Source organism: Homo sapiens, chromosome 5 (assembly GCF_000001405.40).
Source record: "Homo sapiens chromosome 5, GRCh38.p14 Primary Assembly".
NCBI classification, from domain to species: domain Eukaryota; kingdom Metazoa; phylum Chordata; class Mammalia; order Primates; family Hominidae; genus Homo; species Homo sapiens.
Genome location: NC_000005.10, coordinates 123,510,390 through 123,535,818, shown reverse-complemented (window position 1 = coordinate 123,535,818; position 25,429 = coordinate 123,510,390). Strand labels below are relative to the sequence as shown.

General features: G+C 36.8%; 1 protein-coding gene across 52 annotated transcripts in view, besides 6 other annotated features; it reads right to left on the bottom strand.

Annotated features, from left to right (window-relative positions):
- The window catches only part of CSNK1G3 (casein kinase 1 gamma 3), a 104,873-nt gene extending 81,231 nt beyond the window's left edge, over nucleotides 1-23,642 (bottom strand). For 30 of the 52 annotated variants that reach the window (XM_017009057.3, XM_017009063.3, XM_047416745.1 and 27 more), the window contains exon 1: nucleotides 23,249-23,642. The gene's annotated coding sequence lies outside the window, so the exon portion shown is untranslated. Of the gene's footprint in view, nucleotides 1-3,165; nucleotides 3,406-21,270; nucleotides 22,702-23,248 lie in introns of those variants that run through there. The other 22 variants (XM_017009059.2, XM_047416755.1, XM_047416763.1 and 19 more) reach the window with 8 other exon arrangements.
- Nucleotides 9,659-9,846: a silencer, noted in NCBI's record as "fragment chr5:122861667-122861854 (GRCh37/hg19 assembly coordinates)". NCBI's record gives its function as "represses an EF-1alpha promoter that drives an FKBP-Casp9 reporter gene in an ReSE screen in K562 erythroleukemia cells {active_cell/tissue: K562}" and the evidence as "EXISTENCE:reporter gene assay evidence [ECO:0000049][PMID:32094911]".
- Nucleotides 22,321-22,470: an enhancer, noted in NCBI's record as "active region_23005". NCBI's record gives its function as "activates an Ori minimal core promoter by ATAC-STARR-seq in GM12878 lymphoblastoid cells {active_cell/tissue: GM12878}" and the evidence as "EXISTENCE:reporter gene assay evidence [ECO:0000049][PMID:35858748]".
- Nucleotides 22,991-23,060: a silencer, noted in NCBI's record as "silent region_16276". NCBI's record gives its function as "represses an Ori minimal core promoter by ATAC-STARR-seq in GM12878 lymphoblastoid cells {active_cell/tissue: GM12878}" and the evidence as "EXISTENCE:reporter gene assay evidence [ECO:0000049][PMID:35858748]".
- Nucleotides 23,231-23,320: a silencer, noted in NCBI's record as "silent region_16275". NCBI's record gives its function as "represses an Ori minimal core promoter by ATAC-STARR-seq in GM12878 lymphoblastoid cells {active_cell/tissue: GM12878}" and the evidence as "EXISTENCE:reporter gene assay evidence [ECO:0000049][PMID:35858748]".
- Nucleotides 23,501-23,710: an enhancer, noted in NCBI's record as "active region_23004". NCBI's record gives its function as "activates an Ori minimal core promoter by ATAC-STARR-seq in GM12878 lymphoblastoid cells {active_cell/tissue: GM12878}" and the evidence as "EXISTENCE:reporter gene assay evidence [ECO:0000049][PMID:35858748]".
- Nucleotides 23,871-23,930: an enhancer, noted in NCBI's record as "active region_23003". NCBI's record gives its function as "activates an Ori minimal core promoter by ATAC-STARR-seq in GM12878 lymphoblastoid cells {active_cell/tissue: GM12878}" and the evidence as "EXISTENCE:reporter gene assay evidence [ECO:0000049][PMID:35858748]".

The following is a 25,429-nucleotide window of genomic DNA, read 5'->3' as shown; positions in this document are numbered from 1 at the left end:
CAAAATTTGAACGGGTCATTTTGATATCTGAAAAGCAATCCATTGAGAAAACAGAACTATTCTTATAAAGATACATGACAAGAAATCAGTGAAAATGGACTAGGATATCATTCATGAGTCAAGAAGTGAAAATAATAAAAGATGTAGATGACAACAGTGGTTAGGGAGAAACTAAGCCATTTCCTATTTTATTCCATCTAGTTTAGTACATTCAGGTAACTGTTCATAAACTTGTAATAATGTATTTTTTTACTTTTCAAAAATACTTTTAACAAATTAGAATTTTAATTAAAATATTTTCTTAGTAAGAGTCTTAGTATGTTATAGTATTTTCCCTACCATAGCACCTATCAAGCAGTATTAGAATTGCCTACATGTTTCTCTATACCAGGAGTCATGAAACTACAGCCTGCAAGCTATTTGCCTATTTTTATAGAACCTTAGACCTACGAATAGTCTTTACATTTTTACATAGTTGGGGGTGGGGGATTATAAGAATAATAATATTTTATAACATGCGACAATGATAAGAAATCCAAGTTTAGTCTTCATAAATAAAATGGTATAGGAATCCACGCTAATTTGTTTACATGTTGTTATGGATGCTTTTGCGCTACAAGAGAAGAGTTGAATAGTTGTGACAGAGACCATATGTGGTGCTCTTATCACTTCACACTGCTGCTCAGAGAATCATAGCAGTGGCACAGTTATAACTTGACAGTAGTGCCACACACATAACCTACCGCTACATCGTACTTATTTTTTATTACCAATGCATATGGATCATGTCAAAACCAATAGAGAAAGTGGACTTTCACGGTCGTGCTTTTAAAGCACAATGGAGTTATTCGTTCTCAAATTAGATGAGAAAGCATTGTGTTTATTATACAATGGCACTATGCTGAACAACACAACACACTTGGACATGACCAAATGTATTAGTTTTCTATTACTGTGTTACAACTTATTAAAATCTTAGAGGTTTAAAACAACACAAACATTATCTCGCAGTCTCTGTGGATCAAAGCCTGGGCACAGCTTAGCTAAGTGATCTACTCAGGCTGTATTCAAGGTATTGGCTAGACACTTTCTCATCTGGAGGTTCAAGTGGGGAAAAAATCCTCTTCCAAGCTCCTTCAGACTGTGGGCAGAATTCATATGCTTGCAGTGTATAACTGAGAGCCCCAGCTTTTTGCTGGCTGTCAGATGGAAGCCACCCTCAGTTTCTAGAGGTTGCCTAGAGTTTCTAGAAGCTACCTATAGTTTGCCATGTGGGCTTCTCCAAAATGGCCGCTTATTTCTTCAAGCCCTCAAGAAAAATCTCTAGCTCTGATTTTCTAAGACTGAGTATTATATAAGGTAGCATAACCTTCTCTTATACCTAAGTCCCAAGCTTTGTATCCTGCTCCAACACACCAATTCTCCCAGGTCTTGGAATCCTTGATAGCTGCTTCCAGACCTCTTTATATTATAAAGAACATAGAATTAAACAAAAGTAGTCCTAGAATCCCATTTAGCTCCTATGTAGTTGTACAGCATTGAGCAAGACACTTAATCTGTCTAAGCTCATTTTAATAATTATAAAATAGAAGGATTAGACTTGGAAATTTCTAAGGGTATTCTTATATAATATGCAGTTTTATAATTGCCTGTCGTATTTGATGACAAGGGCTCTAGTATACGTAACTTTATGATCCCTGAACCTAGCACACTGCCTGACACCTAGGACAGTTAATACATACTGTAGATGAATAAATGAGTTCTTTCTATCTCTAAACATTTCTAGTCAATAAACCCCATCCGTGCACAGGATCCCAAGAATTTTATGAAGAAAAAAAACAGCAGAGAAAACAGAACAGCAAAAGAAACCTAAAGCATTTACCCAGAAATATTAGCCTAGTCCCTCAATCACAAATATAAACTGACAATCAAGCACCACTAGATACATCAGGAAAGCTAACAATATGAAAAACACCCTCTTCCAAAAAATAAAAAATAAAAAAAAGAAAAAACCTCTGGGGGAAGCAGATCATATGAAGAACAGAAGAGAACTTACTTTAAAAACAGCAGCAAAAATTGAAACAATTAGCCCCCAAGGGCTTTTGAGAAGTATAATAACACATAAATATATAAGAAAATAATGCTGCATTAAATGGAATAAACAAGAACAAAGTGGGGGAATAATCCTAATATTTAAAACAAAAATATAAAGACATTAAAAAATAAAGAAAAAAAGACGGAAACAATCCAATACCTCCAACTTCCAACTAATAATAAAAATTAATAGGGAGGACAGAGAAAATTAAGAAAAAGAAATCATAAAAGAAAATTTTCCTAAGCTGGGGCCAAAAGGGACCTCAGAAGGTTAAGAAGGAAAGAAAAGCAACTCTATCATACTACTTGATTCAAAAGCTTGTCATAATACCGTACGATAGATAACTGATTTTCAACTTTTAAATTCAATCTTAGCAAAAAGAAAAAATGCAAGATAAAAGTCCTGTAAAAATATAAATTTAACCAACCTTGACAGTGTTAAAATAATACTACAATTGAAACTGACAGAAGCTCAGCTGTTAATGGGAAATAGGTAAGGTAAAAGGAAGGACGGGGCAAGAATATCCACATCCTGCAAAGTACAGAGTTAAGAGATAACCTAAAAATTTACTAAAACAAGAAATAGAGATGTAAGAACATTATTTAAAGTGTCAATGGTAAGTAATAGATTAAGTAAACTTAATAACTACCCAAAAATTTAAAGACAGAAGGGAAACTGGGAGTATGTGAGTTAAATTTCATCCTTAGTGGAGAATTAAAAGATAATACAAAAATTTGACATAGTATCAAAGAGAAAAGTGTATGCTTATTATTTAGAATTCATAAAAGTAACCACCTGAAGCATTTAAAACTAAAATAACTAAAACTGGTTCTATCTACTGAAAAATTCAAAGACTAGAAATAAAGGGCAAGAGACTATTGCTTATATTTCTTTTCCACATACGGGCATTAATTTAATAGACCTATTAATTCTACTATCAACAAACGAGTAACTTGCATCCTAAAGATAACTAAAAAACACTGTGAAATTTGAGAAGAATATTTCAAAAAATTTAACAGTACAAAGTATTAAGTGCCTCTACAAATCAGTTTTTGCTTTTGTTTGCTTACTTTTAATGAAAACAGACGCCATCAATAATAGTGGAGACAGCTGTGGAGTTCTTAACATGAAATCCATACACTTCCTGAGAATTTTCTAAAGAGAAAACCACAGTTTTCAACAGGTTTGATATCAAAAGATTATGTGATCTTAAAAAAAAGTTAAGAACCACTGAAAAGAATACTGTTATTTTCTCACTGAATTGCTTTATAAATATATTCTTAGAAGCAATCTATCCTAAAAACTTAAGTAATATCAGCACTTTATTTAAAAGCCAACCTTGTTATAAAAAATTATTTAGGGCAGTTTGTAATACATGCACTACAAAAAGGATGAAGAAAAGATTTACATAAAAAAATCAGCAGAGAAGTAAAATGATCTTAGAAATAAAACTATGTAATACTAATATACCATGAGTTTCAGTACCCATTCAAAGCAAATGTATTTTTGCACTTTATAGTAGTCAGGCAAAAACAAAAATATGATTAGAAATAGAATTAGCTACAAAATTCAGAGTGTACATTAAAATTATACCCGTTGCTAAAAATACCTTACTATTACACCAGTTGCTAAAAATACCTAAATATTCTTAAAAATTAAGAGTAATCTTAATATTGTATTATACCTGCAGATGCAGTCAATGGTAAAAACTGAAAATTTCCCTCACAGAAGCTTTAGATTCAAAAATTACAGGAAGAGAATGGAAAAATGCATCTTGAAAACTTAAAAATTAGGCACCCATTAAAATAAAAACTACTGAGAGAAGACTCACAGAAATACCCCCTGCTTACAATTTTTTGTAACATAGTTACTTGTACTGCTCTACATTTTTATTTTTACAAGAGATATTGCCTCTTTAACTGAAACCTTAATCCATCTACTACTAAAAATAACAGATATACATTTAATGTAGCATAAAACTACATGTGTGAATAAATGGTAATAAAATATTTACAACTTCAAATCTGTAATTATTCTCAGTTTACTAACTTATTGAAATATCTACATTCAAAAGGAATTCTTCAAAAGAAAGCTTTTAAAAATTATCTTTGAGAATGAATATAAATAATTTATTTGCTTTCACAAACAATTACAATTTTGATATAGTAATATCTACTAATAAAGATAAAAATGAGCTGCTAAATACAGAAAACATTAGACATAATCTGATTATATGAATAGAAATGTCAGCCACTGGCATACTTCTAATTTGATGACCACTGATGAATCTACAAAACACAGAACAGAAAATCAGATTCTCTAATATGCATGGCCCAATAATTTAGGACTTGACAAAGCCAACTGACCTCCTTAAGACTGCAAACTAAGTCTTAAGTCTTAGTCTTAAGTCTACTTAAGTCTAAGGAGAAAGTAGTCTGAGAACATATCGGTATTAAGTATTGAAAGTTCCTATAGGTATATTTTCATATTTAGCATGTTATTCAATATTGTTTACAAGTATAAATTTACAACAAATGGAAATTTAAAAATCAAAATTTATAGTCAAATGTTACTTGTCATAGAATTGATTTCCCACTGCTTCGTTATCTCAAATGAAAACCTCCAAATTTAGTATATGAAACGACTCATTCAGTGTTTCAAATGCTTTATTCAGTCTCAATAAAAATTATATTACAATACATGTCTTCAGCCTTCTCCAAAATTTAAATCAGTAAAGATATTTGTGATGTGAAGGCTAGCCGTTACATCACATGCTTCTATTAGCAGCAAGTGTCCCAGTTACTGGTTTCTGGCATTAGCTCAACTGTGGTTGTCTAAGAAAAGAATAAACACTTATTTTTAAAAGCTAAATCATTAACTGTAATGTCAAAAATGGATATCAATTTCTAAAATTACATACTACAGAAACTTTTTTTATCCCAGAAAGATTTAGTAACTATCATCTACAACACTTTACAGTTTTGAAACTTGATTTCAGTGATATCTTTGTACATTCCTATTAAGACCCAGGAATTTCTAGCTTTTAAAAATTACCACCCAGTTTTGTTTAAACAATGTTCTCCAAACTGTGGATCAGGGCCCATTAATGGGCCACTTAATCAATTTAATGGGTCTCAGACAACAGTTTTTTTAATAAAATAGTACCAAACAGGAAAGAAAATGGAAAGTACATATGTAATAAGGATAAATCATGTTTAACAAGATTTGTAGGCTTTAAATGAATGTACATGTATCATTGGGTCAGTAATCAAAAAGCATTTCTACAGTTTAAAAGCTACTGTATTATGGCACAGGAGTATCATCAAAACATACTATATTATAATCAGTTACAATTAAATAAATTATTAAATGAGAAACCTTATTAAAATCTAAATTTCCTAGGTATAAATATTACTGGAAGTCTAATTAAATTAATAGTCTAATTATTCAGCTCTCACTGTTCTCCAGTAACTACAATACGACCGTTTCATAGGTCCTCAAAATGTCTTTTTATGCCTTCTATTCTCAATTTCACAAGTGAATTTACACTCCCATTTGTAATACCCTTTATCATAGCCCATATGTCTCAATAGTTGGAAGGGGAGGAAATATTTAATTTATGATTTTTTTTTTTTTTGAGACAGGGTCTCACTTTGTCACCCAGGCTGGAGTGCAGTGGCCCGAACACATCTCAAAATAGCTGGGACTACAGGTGCATGCCACTACACGAGGCTAATTTTTGTATTTTTTGTAGAGACAGGGTTTTGCCATGTTGCCCAGGCTGGTCTCAAACTTCTGAGCTCATGCAATCTGCCTGCCTTGGTCTCCCAAAGTGCTCATGTAAGTATGAGCCACCACACCCAGCAGAAATATCTAATTTGAAAATGCACACCCTCCTAAGCATTTACTGTACCTAAACCCAGAAAAGCAAAGAGCACCTTCATCTTTAAGAATGACAGGAATCAAAACTCAAGACGAGGTCATGCTAAATTTTTATTACCGAAATATTCACCATACCAACCTCCGTGAGCAGGTCATCTTACTATCTAAAATCAGAAATTTCACTGCAAACCCTAATCCTAACAATGCCATAAAATTTAAACTGCAAGCCATCAAGGAAATTTTGGGATGCTTATTTTCATTCAACAAATATTTACTGAGTACTTACCATGCACCAGACACAGGTACAGGTCTAGGTGCTAGAAATACAGTGATGAACAACTTGCCCCCAAAAAGATCTCATCAGGACTCTTAATGATCTATCTACTTCCATTACCCACAACTTTCTGTAGTACATTTTTAATACTGATTTAAAAGAATGTTCTTTCATCTCAGGAAAACCAAAAAAACAGCTGATTTATTAGCAGTTATGTTTTATAAAGTCACTGCAAATACTGAACCACTGCTTCCAGGATAAATACAGAGTTATGTTCCGCCAGCCTCTGGTCACAAGATTTTCATCAACCAATCAATACGTAACTTTGTTTTTTGTATGTTTCTCTTTCAAGACACCTTATTTAATACACATCTCTGATTCATTAACATTGCACTAATAGCCAACAGCATTATACTCATGCCTGAACTCAGTTTATTTAACACATGAATTTTTTCCATAAGGCTTATCACACCTCTCTTGCACTTAGGACCACTAGGCAGCAGCACATCAGCCCTAAGCTTGGGGGCCATTTTAAACAGTGAAATCACCAGGAAAAAGTTAATAAATAGCTTGCAAAAAGCAAACTCTTCTTCAGAAAGCAGAGAATCACTTTATTCAACGTCAACTGGGAACACGCACATTGGGTGACTCAAAATTTTTGCCACTCTGTGTATGTACGTGTCTGTGAATGACTGGGATTACTGAGTTTAGGGTTACAAATAAATTTTAGCAAGCAAGTAAATTTACAAATATGGAATCTATGAATAATGAGAATAAATTCTAATTGGTGAGGGGGATTTTCTCTTAAAAAGTAATCTAGCTAATAAATGAATAAGAAATGACAACTAAATTATAACCATTACACAACTCTTAGTAAATTAATGGACTAGGCAAGGATCATCAATGACTGCTAACATTCCAAAAAGAAAGACAACTTTTGATCTTCCCAATGGAAGAAAAAATAATTGAAATTGATCAAACCTCTACACCTCACTACCGATTTAGAGGAAAGATATGGGACAATGTTTTCACTCTTTAACCTTAAGATACTCCATTTGTTAATCTGATGTCCTCAAGGAAAAAAAGTCATTTTATTCAATTCTGTCTCCCTAATACCTACTATAACACATAGCAGTCAACATTGATTAAAAGTTCCTTAAATAAATAAGTGAATAAATGAATGAACAACCTCTTAGAAATTTAAGAATGTTAATTTATATGATCATCACTTTTTCAAATAGAAGAGGAAAGAGAAAGTTATGGGCAGGCAGGCAATTTATAGCTCTAAGAGATACTACAGGTGGAATAACACTCCACAAATCAAAGGTCATTTACACAGTGATTTCAACTCTTCAAAACAAAGCTATGAGCCAGAAGAAAAAGAAATTCACTAAAGGAGGTCACAAAATGCATATTCTCTTCATTAAACAATAAGAGCCTCTAAATTCCACTTGAGTCAGATACTTTCATTTTTAAATAATTCTAATAAGTTTATAATAGAATACAAATTAAAAGGGAAAAACTGAAGTGACTAGTAAAATTATGACTGAGAACAAGGAAGACAAACAACTTTATCCTCATCAATAGATTTACAGACATCTCTGCATAACAGCACTTTATAGCTGAGGTTCAGAATGAGAGCCCTAAACTAACAAGAAAAGATTTGAATATGTTAGAAAACACGGAGAAAACAGTACTACTTTGTAAAGTTTGTCATTAAAAGAAAAAAACCTAAAATAAAATATATTTTGGTAAAAGGGTATGCTTCAGTATTTCTAATTTATCTATCAGGTCATTCCCTATAATGCTAACTAAATGAGAAAGTACATCCAGAAAAGTCAGTGGTTGTATCACACATGGTTCTCATAACAGTTATATTCGTTCTTCTCAACTACAGCGAAATATTCTAACTTACAAAAATATATAACTACTAATACATAGACTAGTATATGCAAAGGCCACAAATTTAAAAGGCTTATTTGAGAGTAATGATGTTTGGGTAAGTATGTGTCAACTCTCCTCATAGAACAGACTTAGTAGTATAACTGATTGTAAATTATAAGTTAACAACTTCAAAATTCTAGAATGAAATGTGCAAGCTGAAATAGAAACAAGCTGAAAAATAGAAACAAGCTGAAAGTACTACTACTGCTCTGGAGATAGGACTTCCTTCTGCCCAGCTAAATCAAGAGACTTCTTCCTCCAAACTATGAAAGCCTTAAGATAGAGACTGAGAATTGACCCAAAGGTACCTTAAACCCCAAAATGAACACAAGGTTTTAAAAGCCTAGTTTTTCTCCTAGAGATCAGGGCTACATTACTTGAACAAGAAATAATAGTTCCAGAACACAATGAAGATTGCATTCATTGAAAAATGAGGCTCCCGTAAATCACTATTTCTAAATGACAGAGCTATAGCAATGAAAATATCACATTCAGGATATTACTGTCCCAATATTGCTGGTGTGCAATCAAGCTAACAAATCAAAGTGATTCAATACAGCCAACTTGAATTTTAGAACTGCTTACTACTAGAACTCTTCTATATTGCCAGTGGGAATAAAAATGGTACTGCCACTTTGAAAAATAGTTTGGCAGTTTCTTACAAAGTTAAACACACACTTGCCATATGACCCAACAATCCCAACTTTAGGATCATACTCAAGGAAAAAAAAATTATGTTCATACACACACACACACACACACACACACACACACACACACACAATCTGTACATGAATGAAACATTTCTTAATGGGCAAATAGATAAATGTGGTGAGGTACATCCATACAATGGAATATTGCTCAGCAGTAAAAAGAAACCACTGACACTCGCTACAATATAGATGATTCTCAAATGCATTCTGCAAAGTGAAAGAAGCCAGAATCAAAAGGTTATATAACACATGTTTCAATTTATATGATATTCTAGAAAAAGCAAAATTATAGAAAGAGAAAACAAATCAGTGGCTGCTAGGAGTGGGAGAAGTTGACTGCAAGGGGAATTTTAAGGGGTGATAGAACTGTTTTTGTGTTTTGATTATTGGCAGAGTGAATTTTAGAGAGAAAAACTATTTAATATAAAAATATCTTAAAATCATAACTAATTGAAATGCTAAAAAAAAAGAGAATATTTCCTTTAACAAAACTGTCTGGCCACCCACTAATAAATTTAATTTTAATTTTAACTTCTGCCATTTAAAAAAAAATTGATTTCTAGGCTGGTGGCTCATGCCTGTCATCCCAACACCTTGGGAGGCCAGAGTAGGAGGATCACTTGAGGCCAGCTCAAGACCAGCCTGGGCAATATACCAAGACCCTGTGTCTACAAAAAAATAATAATAATAAATAAATTAAATTAAATTAGTCAGGCATGGTGGCATATGCTTGTAGTCCTGGCAATGTGGGGGGCTGAGATGGGAGTATCACCTGAGCCCAGCAGTTTGAGGCTGCAGGGAGCCATGATTATGCCACTGCACCCCAGCCTGGGCAACAGAGTGAGACCCTATCTCTAAAAATAAAATGAAAAATATTTCTATAAAGTATTTCTACTTTTTTTTTTTTTTTTTTGAGACGGAGTCTCGCTCTGTCGCCCAAGCTGGAGTGCAGTGGTGCGATCTTGGCTCACTGCAAGCTCCGCCTCCCAGGTTCATGCCGTTCTCCTGCCTCAGCTTCCCAAGTAGCTGAGACTACAGGCGCCCGCCACCACGCCCGACTAATTTTTTTGTTTGTTTTTTTAGTAGAGACGGGGTTTCACCATGTTAGCCAGGACAGTCTCGATCTCCTGACCTCGTGATCCGCCCGCCTCAGCCTCCCAAAGTGCTGGGATTACAGGCATAAGCCACCGCGCCCAGCCAGTATTTCTACTTTTAAGCCTGAGCAGCTAAGTCAGATGCTTGTGTTTATTATTTTATTTAAATTGGAAACACTTTGTGTGTTTGAGATTGTCTCATACAACTGTAACAATGCAAACTGCCAGGCATGGTGCCTCACGCCTGTAATCCCAACACTTTGGGAGGCCGAGGTGGGCAGATCGCTTGAGGTCAGGAAGTTGAGACCAAGCCTGGTCAACATGGTGAAAATACAAAAACTAGCGGGGCGTGGTGGCACACGCCTATAATCCCAGCTACTTGAGAGGCTGAGACAGAAGAAGTGCTTGAACCCGGAGACAGAGGTTGTAGTGAGCCGAGATCGCACCACTGCACTCCAACCTGGGCGACAGAGTGAGACTCCGTCTCAAAAAAAAAAAAAAATGCAAACAACTGGTGTAGGACAAGCTTGGTGCCTTGCAAGGCGTTTAATCAAGGCTCTCCCATGTTAACATTCTCCCTAATTAAAAAAAAAAAAGACAGAAACAATCCATTCAACAAATAAGTGATCATTAAAGACCTATTATGTGCTAAAGGCAGGAAATACAAATGGCAAACAAGACAACCTGTCTGACATCACATAGTTTAAATGAGCAACAACAGAAAATATGATACGAACTACAATAGAATTATAGTGCTTTCCGAGCACAAAGCCAGTGCATATAACCTAACTGTGTTAAGTTTTAAATCTTATTCTTGAGGTGGAGAAGAATGGCTACCTATAAGGTTCACATGCTCCTATTAGGATCTAGAGAGTGCCTGGTATCTTGCTGAACTTGAAAACACAGCTTAAAAAGCATATAACACCAGTGCTCCCCCCCACCCATTATCCTTCAGTGTTTAAGGATGGAAAGAAAAGAGACCACATACACAGAACACTACCTCTGCACAAGAAGTACAATAACCATTCCCTTAAAACAAGGTCCTCTTCAGAAAACTATAATACTAAAATATACAGATTTATTTGTCACCTTTCTGGCAGGCAGAAAATTTTTCTGATACAGAATACGATAACTATAAGTTTTTCTTCTTGAGGAATATTATCTTACAGTGGGGGAGGAGGAGGAAGAGGAAAAGAAATGAGAAGAACCACAAAGTATGGGAATAGGAACCGGAGGCAAAAAATAAGAATAAGCCAAAGCAGATATAAATATACTTGAAACGAAGTCTTAAAAACAAATTAAGGAAGTTTAAGGAAACTAAAACAGAGGGATTGCAACCACACCCCTGCTTCTTTCTATTATTAAAAAAGTAAGCCAAGATATGTAAAAGAGAGGGCTGCCTGTAGGCGCTTTGGCATGAAGTTATCATGTGCAAAGGTAAAATTATGTAACCCCAAGGACTAAAAAGAGTGTTTGATGAATACTCAGTCATGCCAAAGTTACCCAAAACATTTTCCGTCTCAAGCATCCTAATTACACAACGCTTCTGGAACTACAGTGGGACCCACAGGACCAGAGTTAATAACTTAGTATCAAAAACCCAGGAGAGTTTTCAACAACTGTTAAAGAAACTAACACAGATTCAAATAAAATGCCACTTTGCATTTATATATTTACAAGAAAAAAGGCAGAAGAAATTTACTAGCACCTTACTGAAACTCCACCTCAGAGAAGTAAGATATGGAATAGTTTCTATTAAGGGGTTGCTGCAGGTCCATAGTTTGTTTTCCAGCATTCTGGCAGTCAAACATGTCTTAGAATTCAGAATGTCTAGAGATTTTTGACAGGTGATACAGTGGGTATACACCATATATTTAACACCACCTCTAGAGAAGGCTGGGATAGTACAGAGAAGCCTAGGACAGCACACTATAATCAAACATTTGCTATTTCCACAATGAAACCTTTAAATATATGAAATAAAGAGAACAGTTCAGAACAGATTTTGTGAAAAAATCAATTTGTACCAAACACACAGAAAAAGTTTTGGGTTTCAGAGTGCTGTGGATGTTAGAACTGTTGAAAAGGAATTAGGTCCTATAGAACGGTACTCATTACTCTTTATCATGTACCAATTTTATTGTGGCATTTTGGTGAATCCAGAATAATTCTAAAAGTCTCCTACTGGTTCACATAACACGTCCTCTAAACTCTACCCGGTGCTAAATTTCTGTACCACATTCTCCTATCAGGGCAGTTTTCAGAAATCTAACCCTTGCAATTTATAGAACTGCCAAATCCAATTTTGCCACCACACAAAAAATGTTCATTGAATTGAATATATTGAACTCATCCTAAAATGGCTTGCTCTCATTTTGTCACAGAAAAAAACACTGTAACTGCTGAGGGTGTTCCTGACCCAGGAAGCAACATCAAATCAGTCACTAAAAGGACCCTAATTTTGTCCTAAATATCAAGATACAATAACCCTATAAAACCCTATTATCATAGTGTATTTATGTGTATATATTTCCAGACTATATGCAATATAAACAATATAAACTATATGCAATAAACACAATATACTATAACTAAGGTAAAATTTTTTCACTGAGCGGGAATAAACAGAGACCGTTCCTCATCAACAGTGGTATAAAAAAGAAGAAAGCAGAAGTGCAGTTATACTAAATAATCTTTGAAGTCCCTTCCATCCTGATGTTCCATAAAAAATACAGCTCAATGATATTGTAAATATGATAAATATAACCTAAAATGAATAACTTTTTATTAGTAACACTTCTTCCCCTCTTATAATTTATAATAACTTTAGAGATATCACTTAGGTCTCCTAAGATTTCCAGAAACAACTGAATTGATGCCTTAATTTATATTTGATAAATTTCCCCATAACAAACTTTCCAAGCTTCAGAAATCCTCTAACTTTGGCGTTATACTTAATCAAAGACTGCTAATGAGCAATGAATATAGGGGCCTCACTAAGGATGCTAAGTACAATTGACCCTCATTATCTATGGGCTCCTCATCCTTGGATTCAACCAACTGCAGATTGAGATATTCAGGGAAAAAAAAGCATCTGTACTAAACATGCACAGACTTTTTTTTTTATCATTATTCCCTAAACAATACTTCATAACAACTATTTACACAGCACTTACATTGTATTAGGTATTACAAGTAATCCAGGAATAACCTAAAGAATAGGGGAAGGTGTCAAAGGTTATAGGCAAATACTGTGCCATTTTATGTCAGGTACCTGGCCACACCCTCAGATTTTTTTTTTCTTTTTTTTTTTTGAGACAGAATCTCGCTCTATTGCCTAGGCTGGAGTGCAATGGTGTCATCTCGGCTCACTGCAACCTTTACCTCCCAGGTTCAAGCGATTCTCCTGCCTCAGTCTCCCAAGTAGCTGGGACGACAGGCGTGTGCCACCACGCCCCGCTAATTTTTTTGTATTTTTAGTAGAGACAGGATTTCACCGTGTTAGCCAGACGGTCTCAATCTCCTGACCTCGTGATCCGCCTGCCTCTGCCTCCCTAAGTGCTGGGGTGAGCCACAGCACCCAGCCCATCCTTGGATTTTGATAGCCATGAGGGGTCCTGGAACGAATCTGAGGAACTGTATGAAGCTATGAGCAGAAGCCACTACTTTAACTTGATTCTCTTGCTAATATTTTCTTTGCATTTTCTTCTGTGTCATCTTCATACCTCCACCTCAAATTTTAAAAAGACAGTTGGAAAATAAAAGAAAGCCATTTTTTTAAAGGGCTGAGAGTGTAAAAAGAAGGAGAAATTAGTTATTTTCAACCCTGCAGGACACTGGAATCGTCTGTAGAAATCCTAAAATATATCAATGCCCTAGCCCTTTCCAGGCCCTACTGATTATTTATGGAATATAAATTAGCATGGGTAGAATCCCAACATCTGTCTTTTTTTTTTAAGCTCCCAAGAAAACTGTAATATGAACTCGGGCCAAGAACCACTAGTAAAAACTTTCTCCACAAATCCTTCCCTCCTCTCATCTATTTAGTTAAATGTTAGCATTCCCAGCCCATAGCAAGGACTGCATGAACTATCTTTAAAATTGTCCATTTTTCTTCTTTCATTTACTCTGTCACAGAAGAAAAATTACTAATTTTCAACTGGAAATTTTTAAACAAGTGTGTATAGTAAAATTAATTTTAGCTTATTGGATATTCTCATTCCCAAATGCTCAGGATTTCTTTTTCAGTCTTAAAAAAACCACCTTCATTAGTAGGTATTAAGGTAAACAGCAAAGCATACAATAATAAGCAAACTCACAATATGCATTCTAGTTATCGACTTTCAATAGATATCAGAAAATACTCAAAACAATTATCTTAAGGAGCTGATTATATTTTGATACTTTATTAACTACAAACATTTGCAGAATCTCAATTATATAAAGACACATCAGCAACAATATATCCTGATACTCGTATGACAGAAAAAGTACTCAGTAAAGATCCTTTTTTTAAAATAAAAACTGGCATCACAAGATTCCACATCTTTAAGATTTAAAGATTTACATTTTTGGAGTAGGGAGAGTCAGACTGTTGTCAGATTCCCTAAAATAAATGTAGAAAAGAAAATAATGTTTTGTAAAAAATATGCATCTATAAACACTTTTTTTCAAGGTCATCTAAAACTGACACCTACTAGTTTCATCTCCAAAACAATACTAGACTATTTTTGTACTCCAAATTAGAATTTTATTAAAAGGTCCTGTAGTCATAAATTTGCACACCCTAAGACTTATAGAATACCATAAATTTTCTCTCTTCTGTCCTGATTACCTAATATATTTGCCTGCCACTTGAAAGTATTCATTGCTAGAATATAAAATAAGTATTTCACAGAAATAGAAAATAAACATGACACACAGTGGGTGTAAAGAAAAAAAACATTTTCACTTCCCTTTTTACTAAAGGAAATTCTGAATATAATTTTAACTCTAATAAATCACAGTCTAATACACTGCCTAGTATACCACCTGAAGTCAAACCAAACAAACTAAAAAAATAAATAACACAATAATTTCAAAATATTCAGAAGTCCACTAATTTTATAATGTATATTTGTACCAAAAGATATTATATGGCCAATTTCAATTTAAAATTTTAAGATAAGTAATTTTAATACATCCAATTTTAAACATAAAGAAATCTGCAAAGTATCAATACATTTGAGGCACACTTTATTCATGGTAATATACAAGGAAAGCAGTTATATATTAAAATCTAAACTGGTAGAAAACACATCCCACCCCAAGATTCTACCCCCCTCAAAAAAAAAAAAAAAATTACTGTTTTTTCTGATGGTAGAAATAATGCACAGTGACAGCTGAAAACCCAAACAATATAGAGAAGTAAATGAAGTATAAAAATAAAAATCATCCTAAATCTCACCATTTATAAACAACTGACATTAACATAAATATTCTTCCAGAAGATGGATGGATTTACTCCATATACTTACAACCCATACATATATGTATCTATGTATACATGTATAGTATATATGCACATATATATTCCTTTCATTTACATATATTGATGGTAAAGAAATGCTTAAGATCATTTTCTTGAAAATAAAATAATGAATTGTCCCAAACAGTCTGCTTTTGCATTTTCATTTAAGCAGGCTAGGTTTAAGATTATTCCATGTGTGTGTGTCTGCCTGTCTTTCTGTGTGATGTTGTCATTGTTGTTGACTGCTTGAGGCAAGCTGAAAAATTTTGTCTGTTTACTTATTTTACTGGAAAAAAAAGAAAACTTCTGGTTAAATTTTTCCAAAGCCTAAGAACACAGGTATCTGTACTAAAGGTGATTAGCTGACTGATTTACATTGGTAGCCCACAGTCCTGAGCAAAACTGTAAAGTAGACAAGATTATTATGGCCTCCTAATTCTTACTCAGAAAGAGCACTCCACTAGTAATTAGGATATAAGAGTTCTACTAATCAGGTGTGTGGCTTGAGCATTTCAATCTTCCTATGATTCATTTTAAGTCTAAAATCCTATGGTCCTTCCCTTCCTCCCCAACCCCTTACCAACTCTGCTGCTCTCAAAATATGTAAAAACCATCCTTTCCTCCAATCTCACTGGAATTCCAGGATTCAAAATAAATCCTTCTGACCAAGAAACTCCCATTTCCTCAATGCACTTATTCTCCCCTAGATATGATAAGCAAAGTAATCAATGAAATCAAAGGTATGGGCAACTTCATGGTGAGGAAGGAAAGCAACAATGCAGAAAAAAAAATTTAAACAAGTTTATAGGAAAAAATTTTAATGTAAAATTAAATGGCTTCATGAGTTTCATAGAAAAAAATTATAATCTTTCAACTTCACCACCTATTTTATTGATTCAAAGTTAGCCAATGAAAAAATAAAGTAGTGTTTTTAGCTCCTAAAATATTCAGACCCAGCCGGGCACAGTGGCTCATGCCTGTAATCCAGCACTTTGGGAGACCGAGGCAGGCAGATCACCTGAGGTCAGGAGTTCAAGACCAGCCTGGCCAACATGGCAAAACCCCGTCTCTACTAAACATACAACAATTAGCCAGGAAAGGTGGCGACTGCCTGTAATCCCAGCTACTCAGGATGCTGAGGCAGGAGAATCACTTGAACCCAAGAGGCAGGGGTTGCAATGAACCGAGATCATGCCATGGCACTCCAGCCTGGGAAACAAGAGTAAAACTCCGTCTCAAAAAGTAACTTGCCAGCCACGGTGACTCAAGCCTATAATCCCAGCACTTTGGGAGGCCAAGGCAGGCAGATCACTTGAGGCCAGGAGTTCGAGACCAGCCTGGCCAGCATGGAGAAAGCCCATGTATACTAAAAATACAAAAATTAGCTGGGTGCAGTGGCATGCACCTGTAATCCCAGCTACTTGGGACGCTGAAGCACGAGAATCGCTTCAAAACAGGTAGACACAGCGATCACTATTTATCATCTCTCTAACATCCATATCCCCCAAATTCTTCCTTCCCACAATTTTTTTAAAATATCCTCCCTCTTCCATCTAACTCAGAAAAATGTGATCCCAACACCAATTGCAGAAGGTATCTCCTGATTAGTAGAAACCAACCATGATAACCTTACTTCCCTTATGATAACTAGTTAGGACGTTCATGTGACCTAATTCTGGTCAATAAGATACGAAGAGAAAAATATGTTGGTAGGCTTATGCAAAAGATGTATTTGCTTTTCCAGAGACACAGACAGAAAGAGAGAGAGAGATCCATTCCATCCTCTGGCCAGTGCATGTCTAGATGTGATCTTGCTGCTGGCCTTAGGATGACTCCAACACACAGAAGACAAACAGCCAAGAAAATCACAGAGGGGCAGACCAGAGCTCTCAAGTACTAGCTTGGAGCCACCCACCCTACCTTCATACTTCAATGTGCCATTTCAGCATCTACTGTAATTCAGCAAGCAATGTGGTTACACCAAAATAAATAGCATACCACATATACCACTCCTTCTCCAACCTGGACTTCCTGCTCCTTCAACTGAAAGTTCTCCTTTCCATTTGGACTGAGCTAGGTGAGATAGGAGGCTCAAGTGCTCCTGGTATATATCAAGGGTGTCACATTTCCTCCTTCAAAGAACAATCTCCTCTACCCCAGCATTCCTAATTGGATGGAGATGTTGGAACTATAAGAAGGCTTACCCCTTCAACCCTGACAGTACATAAAAGTTGAAAGGTAGCTTATGAAATCAGATTAGGGACCATACTGGGAAATATGTGAGAACCATAGATTGATCACCTGACTAGATAAACAATTCACTCTAAGGAATGAACCTCTGGGAATAACAGGATCTTCCTTTTTTTTTTTTTTTTTCTTAAAGAGGATGTTATTAAATAAATCTCTAAGCAGTAGTGTAAACTAGGAAAGATGATGTTTTAGAAGCAGACTTCTTTAATATATTACAATTAATAAATGGTTCTGAAGTTAGCCTAAAAAGGAAATCATTTCTCAACATCTACAAACTCTATACATTTTATTACAACTAAAACAAAAATGTCCATTCACAAGACAATCTTATAATACAGAGCTATGGCCTTTTCTTCCAGTGTGGGTCTATCGAAGAAAGTTCTATTTCCTTTTTCTTGCAAAAACTACCCCCATAAAACAACACCTGTGATTTCCAGTTTCTGTTTCTTAAACACAGAAAGACATTTTACAAACGTGAAAAATAATATTATTGCAGATTTTTTTAGATCGTTAGGTGTTTTTTGTTTTTTTTTCCCTAATCATTTAAAATTATTTAACCCTCATCTATTTCAACCATAATTGATTTTGGCTACTCACTTGATTTCAAAGTAGCCAATTGGTTCTCATACAAACGCCTTTTTATCTTCAGAGTTCACTGAATAATAATTCATTAAACTATGTGATTACAACATCAAGTGCCATAACAGTGTGTTGGGTACAAACACAAATGTTTCTTGGTAAGTCTACAGTAACTGGGGGGAATAAAAGTTCAAGATAAAACTAAAGAATAGTCTACTGTCATTCAATGTAGCATGAGCATCAGTCAGCAAATTCTACAGAGAGAATGAAGACTATCATTTAATCTCACGAGTGGGTTAAGCAGAGGTCAGGTATGAGAGATTTTCCTGTAATAGGGTGTTCCCGAGAGTCTTTGCTTGTCTACCCACCAATCCACCCTCTAAAATTCTTATCGGCAACTTCTGAAATGAAGGACAGAAGATTTACACAGTGCCTACTATGTGGCAGGCATCACATAGTCCTTGGCACTTCATATGAATTTCCTCCATTTTGATGAAGAATATAATGGCAGAATAACAGGGTAACTCTCTTCCCTTTTTTTCCAAATGTAGCTATCAACTGAAGAAAGTACTTCCAGGTAACACAAAGTGATCTAAATAAATGTAATAAATTTGAATACAACTTCAACCTCACATTACTAACCTAGAGAAAAAAAACATTAAACTTTGTATTTAAGAAAAAGAGTATCATGAGACCATCTCTCATTCCATTGAAAAGTTATGAAAAATGCGGACATGATTTAGCCATGTGGACATAACTTACTCATAAATTTTCAATAAATTACAACTATGTAATATATCATTGGTAAACAAAGCGACCAAAAAAGTGTGTCTTATCTCCCCAATACATAAACACTTCAATTCATTGTTAAGAGTTATTTCTTATAACTAAGATGATAAGCACGAAGTGGCAGGAGAGAGTATAACCAATCACTATGGTCTAACAACAAATAAACACATACTTTCCTTAGGTTTCATAATAGAAGGGAAGCCCAAACATTTATAGTTGCTAAATCTCAGCTTTCAGAGAGAGCTTAAAAAAAAGAAAAAATGTCTAACAGCAGCCTCCACCATGTCGCTAGAAGTTATATATTTCTACATTTATCTCCCATTCCATATTTCCTGAGCAGTTCAGATGCCCTTGAAAATCATTTCACATTATTAAAGCACATTTGATTTCTACACATTAAGAATCCAAGCATAGTTCTGTCCTGCAGATCAGCAAAAGGTGATGCTCTGAGGTGCCTTAAATTACCAGAACCATACTGTCTGCACCTACAGGATCCCACAATTAAAGACAGATACCTCAAAACTACCGCTTCTGAAGAAATTACATCATAAAGAACCAACACTCAGACACATACTATCAATTAATACCACGAATTGCCAACCGCTTGAGAAAAGACCAAAAAAAGGATGAAGATGGAAGATAAGAAAAAACAGATCATTGGTGGCTTAAGACTTTGAAGTCAGAAAAAAAAACTGACTCAAATATGCACTCTGCTACTTCCAAGATATATCTTCAACACATTATTTAAACTCTAGAAGACTGTTTCCTGCTCTCAAAAATGAGGTTACACCACCTAACTCAGAGTTGTCGTAATAGTATCATTTATGGCCTCTATACAAAGTAGGCACTTAATAAATTATAGGAGGTATTGTTGTTACTGGGAGGTTGAAGGGAACACAAATTCAGTTATAAGTCCTTTTTGAATACTAAGAGGGGAATAATTAGGGAAGCTAAGAGGGGAATAATTAGGAGAAGAAAAAAAAACTTCAAACAATTTTCCCTGTAACATGATTTTACTTGCATTTATAAACTGATTTTTTTTTCTAAGCACTCCTTTGATAATGATTAAGTGTGGGGTTACATTATTTTAGGGTCGTCTAATATTTAAGATGACTTAAAAACCTCACACACGTTAATCCCGAACTGTGAAAATTTCTCATCTTATCATCCCTCTGTTACTATCAATTTTCCTCACGTACAGATTCTTTTATAATTACTTCATTAAAACCACTTTCTGTGAAAATATACATTCTTTACATTTCATCTCATCCACAGCAAATCTCACTATTAACAATAATATAACTATTCAATGACCTATATTTTGTTATTCAATACTTCAGCATTCCTTCTATTTAATTTGACACATCCTTTTGGGAAGCCCTTTGGAACAAAACAACCGCTTGTTCCATTCTGAAAAACATCTGAAACAATAAACTATACCAGAATAAGTCTACTCCCAGCATGGAGAGGATTACAGGATGGATCAGAGGAGACACAGAGAAGTAACTGGAGAGCTTCTCATTTCTTCCTGAGTCACATTTTTACAGTCTGGATTGATTTCATGTATAACCAATTACTAGATTACCAGACACACCCATATTTAAATGCAAATAAAGAAATTTAACGAAACTATATATAGATTGTTTTGGATTATATACTTTTCTGCTTTCCTTCAGTAGTGCCAATGATAGAAAATTGACTATTTTATTATAACTTGTTTCCTTAAACTTACTATCGTTATTTGCCTACCTACTGTCAGCCTACGATCTGTACATTTGGACCTTCATGCCTCAAACTGACTCATCTTTAAATACAAGCTGAACTTCCATGGCCTGATCTCCACCTACTTTCATAGCTTCTCCCACAAAGACCTCCTGGCAAAACAGCCTTATGTCCAGTTCAACAAGCCCTATAACACAATCACATGCCTTTCCTCAGGCTGTTCCCTTCACCGAGAAAACTACCCCCACCATCACCCCCTCAGTCCCCATTTTGCCTATTAAACTATGTTAAGGCCCAGATGGAGTGTTACCAGCTCTACATCCATTCAAAATTTCCCAGTCAAAAATTAGTATCTCACACACACACACCCCATGCTTCCAATACACCTCCAACAAAACCCACAGGAATCTGTGAATTACCTCTGTGTATGTCTGCTTCTCCCTTGAAGGCAGTACTGAGTCTCATTCATCTTCATATTCTACCCACTGTTCCATCCTTGCCACAGAGTAAAGGTGGTCCTGGTTGAATTAAACTATTCCTTGATTCCACTAATTCCAGTCCTTTATTTTCAAGGAAGTAATAAATGCCTTTCATGTACTGAAGATTTTGTTAATATATTGTAAATGCTTGCTAAATCTAATGATGAAAATGTCAATAATTACATAACACACTAATGTTTAAGCTGATGAATGGCAGAAGGGGGTGGATGACTATAATAAATCATCAGTAAAGACAATCGTTTCTCAAGATCCCCAAAAAAATGTCATTCATAACAACATTAAAATTAACCTTTCTGTCTCCCATTTCAATAATTACTTCTATTTAATGCATATTCAGAAATGCCAGTTCACATAAAGCAGAAGTGTCTGTACATTCTGCTAAGAATGTATGTCAAAGCCACACAATGTATTTGATAACATCTTTCTTCCAATGTCCATAAAGGTAATTTTTATCTTTTATCTTTTGTGCAACTATAAAGGTTAACTATACAAAAGAATAAGACAATTTATCCTAAGATACAACTGGAGCAAAGTTTGTAAATAATTACAAAATACACTAAGTACAGCTCAAAAAAAAAGAAAGCTATTAATGTCACACACCAGATCTGATTTTTTTGGTGAAAAATATTTTCTTAAACTAGTTTCACATCTAATTCCACATTATTCTCACAATTTCTGTAATGTTTTTCTTCTAAATTTACCGGGAAAGCCAATATTCTTCAAAGAAACATCTTTAAAAAGAAACATCTTTAAAAAGTATATACTTTTCATTTTATATCCCATCTTAGATATAGTTTGCCATCTCTCATATCTGTGGCCAAATGTCATTTGAATCGGACTAAGTAATTGCAAAAAGTAAAATAATGACTTATTTTCTTAATTCATTAAAAATAAGTACATTTTTAATTCTCTAATTTAAAGTAAATATTTTAATAGAAGATTTAAAAGGAGCCACTGACCAGCCTGGGTGCTTACTACAAAAGAGTTGAAAGTAATTCACACAGTGTATCAACAGTAGCTGTCTCCCACACACACAGGCACACTCACTCTCTCCCCCATCTGAACTTTTCCTCCCTAAAACATGAGGTGGGAGAAGGGGAATGACCATGACACAGGCCTCACTACCCCCACCCCACGAGTAGACACACATCTCCCTCCTCATCCTGCTGAAAAGAAATGTGGAGGCTGTGGACCAAGAGACCCGATGCTTCTCAGTGTCACTTCCCCTGCATGTGGGATAAACAAACAAACCGGCACCATGAGAGTAACCATCAGAGTGATTTTGCTAACCTTTGACTAATGTCTTGGTTAAGTTTTGAGCTGAGTCAAAGCTCTAAGAAACAGGTAAATCCCTGTGTCCCCCCACCCAACCCCTTAAACACTCCAACGGGAAGTTTATCCCTGAGCTGAACGCTGGCCCCCGTCGCCTCCTCCCAGCCTATCCATGCCTCCTTCCTGCCTGAAGCCCCTACTCCAAAGGTAATTGTCTGGACACAGTCAAGGAGCACCGTGGGCGACACTCCCCACCTCCCAATCTCTCCTAAGGAAGCCCCCGCCGGCCCAGTTGGCCCACCTCCCTCGCCGCCCCAGTCGCGCCGCACCACTCCGGCAACTTTTGCACCCAGCCCGACCCGCCACCCGCGGCCCCCGCTGCCCCCTAGCCCTCCGCGCCCTCAGCCTCCGACCGCGGCCCCCTCCTGCCCACGCCTCCGGGCCACCCGCCATGGTCCTCGCCCACCCCTCCCCCGACACCCGCGCCTGCGGCGCCGCCCCCGCCGCACCCCACCCCACCCGCCCGGGACCCCAGCCCCACCCGGGAGGGAGGGCGCCGCGGCCGCGCCGAGGCAGCCGCCGGGCCGGGGCTGGCAGCGGAGCACCTACGCGCAGGGGGCTTTACCTCAAAGGCGCGGCCGCGAGCAGAGGGGTCGGTCCCGGGCGCGGGCGGCGCCCCCAGTCCGTCAGCGCCGGCGGGGGCAGCGGCGGCGGCACATCACACCCGCCGGCGGCCGGAGGAGGAAAGCGAGCCACGCAGGGAGCGAGCGAGCGAGCGAGCGAGGTAGGGGGGAAGGAGCGAGAGAGAGAGGTAACGCAGCGCTGCTCGGATTCGGTCCCTGCACTGCCGCTGGTGCCTCCTACCGCCGCCGCTGGCCGGAGAGTCGCCGCCCGAGCCTCTGCTGTCGCCACCGATGCAGCCCGGAATGAATGCACAGCAGCGCCTCGCTTATCCGGAGGTCAAACATCCTTCTGCCTCGGGCATCCGGATCGACGCCGGACCCGGAAGTGAACACATGGAAAAAAAATTAAAAAGGAAAGCGTCTGTTTAGCGGCGGCGGCCCCCAAGCTGCCCGCATCAGCGAAAACAGCCGAGTAGAGCCGAAGATTGCACCAACCTTCTTGGATTGGTCGGATCGCCGACCGGAAAGGAGACGGCGCGGTCATTGGCTGGCAAGGTGTATAAAGCCTAAGCCGCGCCCTATCCCCGTCTTTCTAGAGCCGTGCGTGAGGGAAAGTGGGGAGAGGCTGTGGATACGAGTGTTTCTCTGGATGAAGCAGTGGGCGGAGAAGCATAGCAAAGTCTACGCAGAGAACTGGAAGAGAACACCACCATGCTTTAGGAGAGCTACTAAGAACTGAGTGAGCAAAGAGCCTTAAGGGTACCATTGTGCCAAGTCAGGGTGCTGAGGCTTTCCCTGTTGTGCTCAGCCCGCCAGGTTCCAAAAAAATCTTAGGGCCCGGCCTAGGAGTATGACATCACTGGGTTGACATTTTTCCCCGCTTGTTTGTAACCCCAGTGCCATATCAGGGCTCCAACTGCTTAGAAATGTGAATTATGGCTCACATTTGCGTCTCATTTGCTGTTTGTAAGCTGAGGTAATCCTCTGAACTATATAGTGTGGCATTACCTGTTTTTCAAATTCACCTCCCAAAGTTCTGAGAAGCCAAACATCACCCAAGTTATCAAGTTGCAGCGCACAAACTGAAATCGGTGTTTCTGACTCACACTTAAGTCCACTCTGCCTACATAGAAAGACTGCATTCCTTTCATTTTCCCTCTTGCAGTTGCTTCCCTGGGATGGAGATAAGTCATTTTGGTAGACTTCTATGGAAATTGATCCACCATGAAGGCATGGAAACTATAATTTTTTAAAATTGTGATTCTTATGTCTCAAGTCCTTTCAAAAGTTAGGCATTAAGGTGTGCAGGAAGAAGAATCAGCCTGGTGCCATGTTTTTTAAATGTTCATTTTATCAAACCCGTTTATATTCTTAATATACTTACTGTATCAAGAAACTTGAGTCTTGTGTATCTCTATCTCTCCTGTCTACCTCTCAAAACGAAAAGACTAATGAAACAAATGCACTCCTTCATTTTCCTCCCTGCTTTGCTAGATTAACGGTATAGCTAATGTGTTACCTTTGGAAGGGTAGTTAGTATAGAAATCTGTTTTTGATTTTGGTTTGTAATACAACAGTGCCTTTTTTTTAAACCTCTCTTCTCACTTCTTCCCCAAACTGGAAGTTAAGAAGTGACTAGCATCACCAGCCTTAGAAGGGTAGTGATAAGAGCTTTGCTCCATGCTTACCACACCATCATTCTGTAGGAGACTCAAAAGCAGCTAAGATGTATGCATGCTCAGAATTGTGAATGACTTGCCTAGGGCAGATGACATATCCCAGAATTTCTGATCTCTCCCAGGACCCACTAATAGACAAGAAACAAAGTTAACAACATCTCACTCAATAGAAGAGAAGTGTCTGCAACACAGGAAACTCTAAATATTGTCCTCAACTCCCAACAAACCATTTTATTCTCTCTACCTCAAAAAACTCAGTTTTGATAAAGAACACCCACTCTTCTAAGTTTTCATAAATGGTTGAGAAAGTCAAGTGTATAAATATATGATCAAAACACATTTTTAAATTAAAAATGGGCTGGTCTAAGTACGGTGGTACTTACAACGAATTGCTCACAACCAGTTACAGATTTCTTTGTTCCTTCTCCACTCCCACTGTTTCACTTGACTAGTATTTATTAAATTATATTAGAAACGTATGGGAATAAATGTTTACATTTTTAA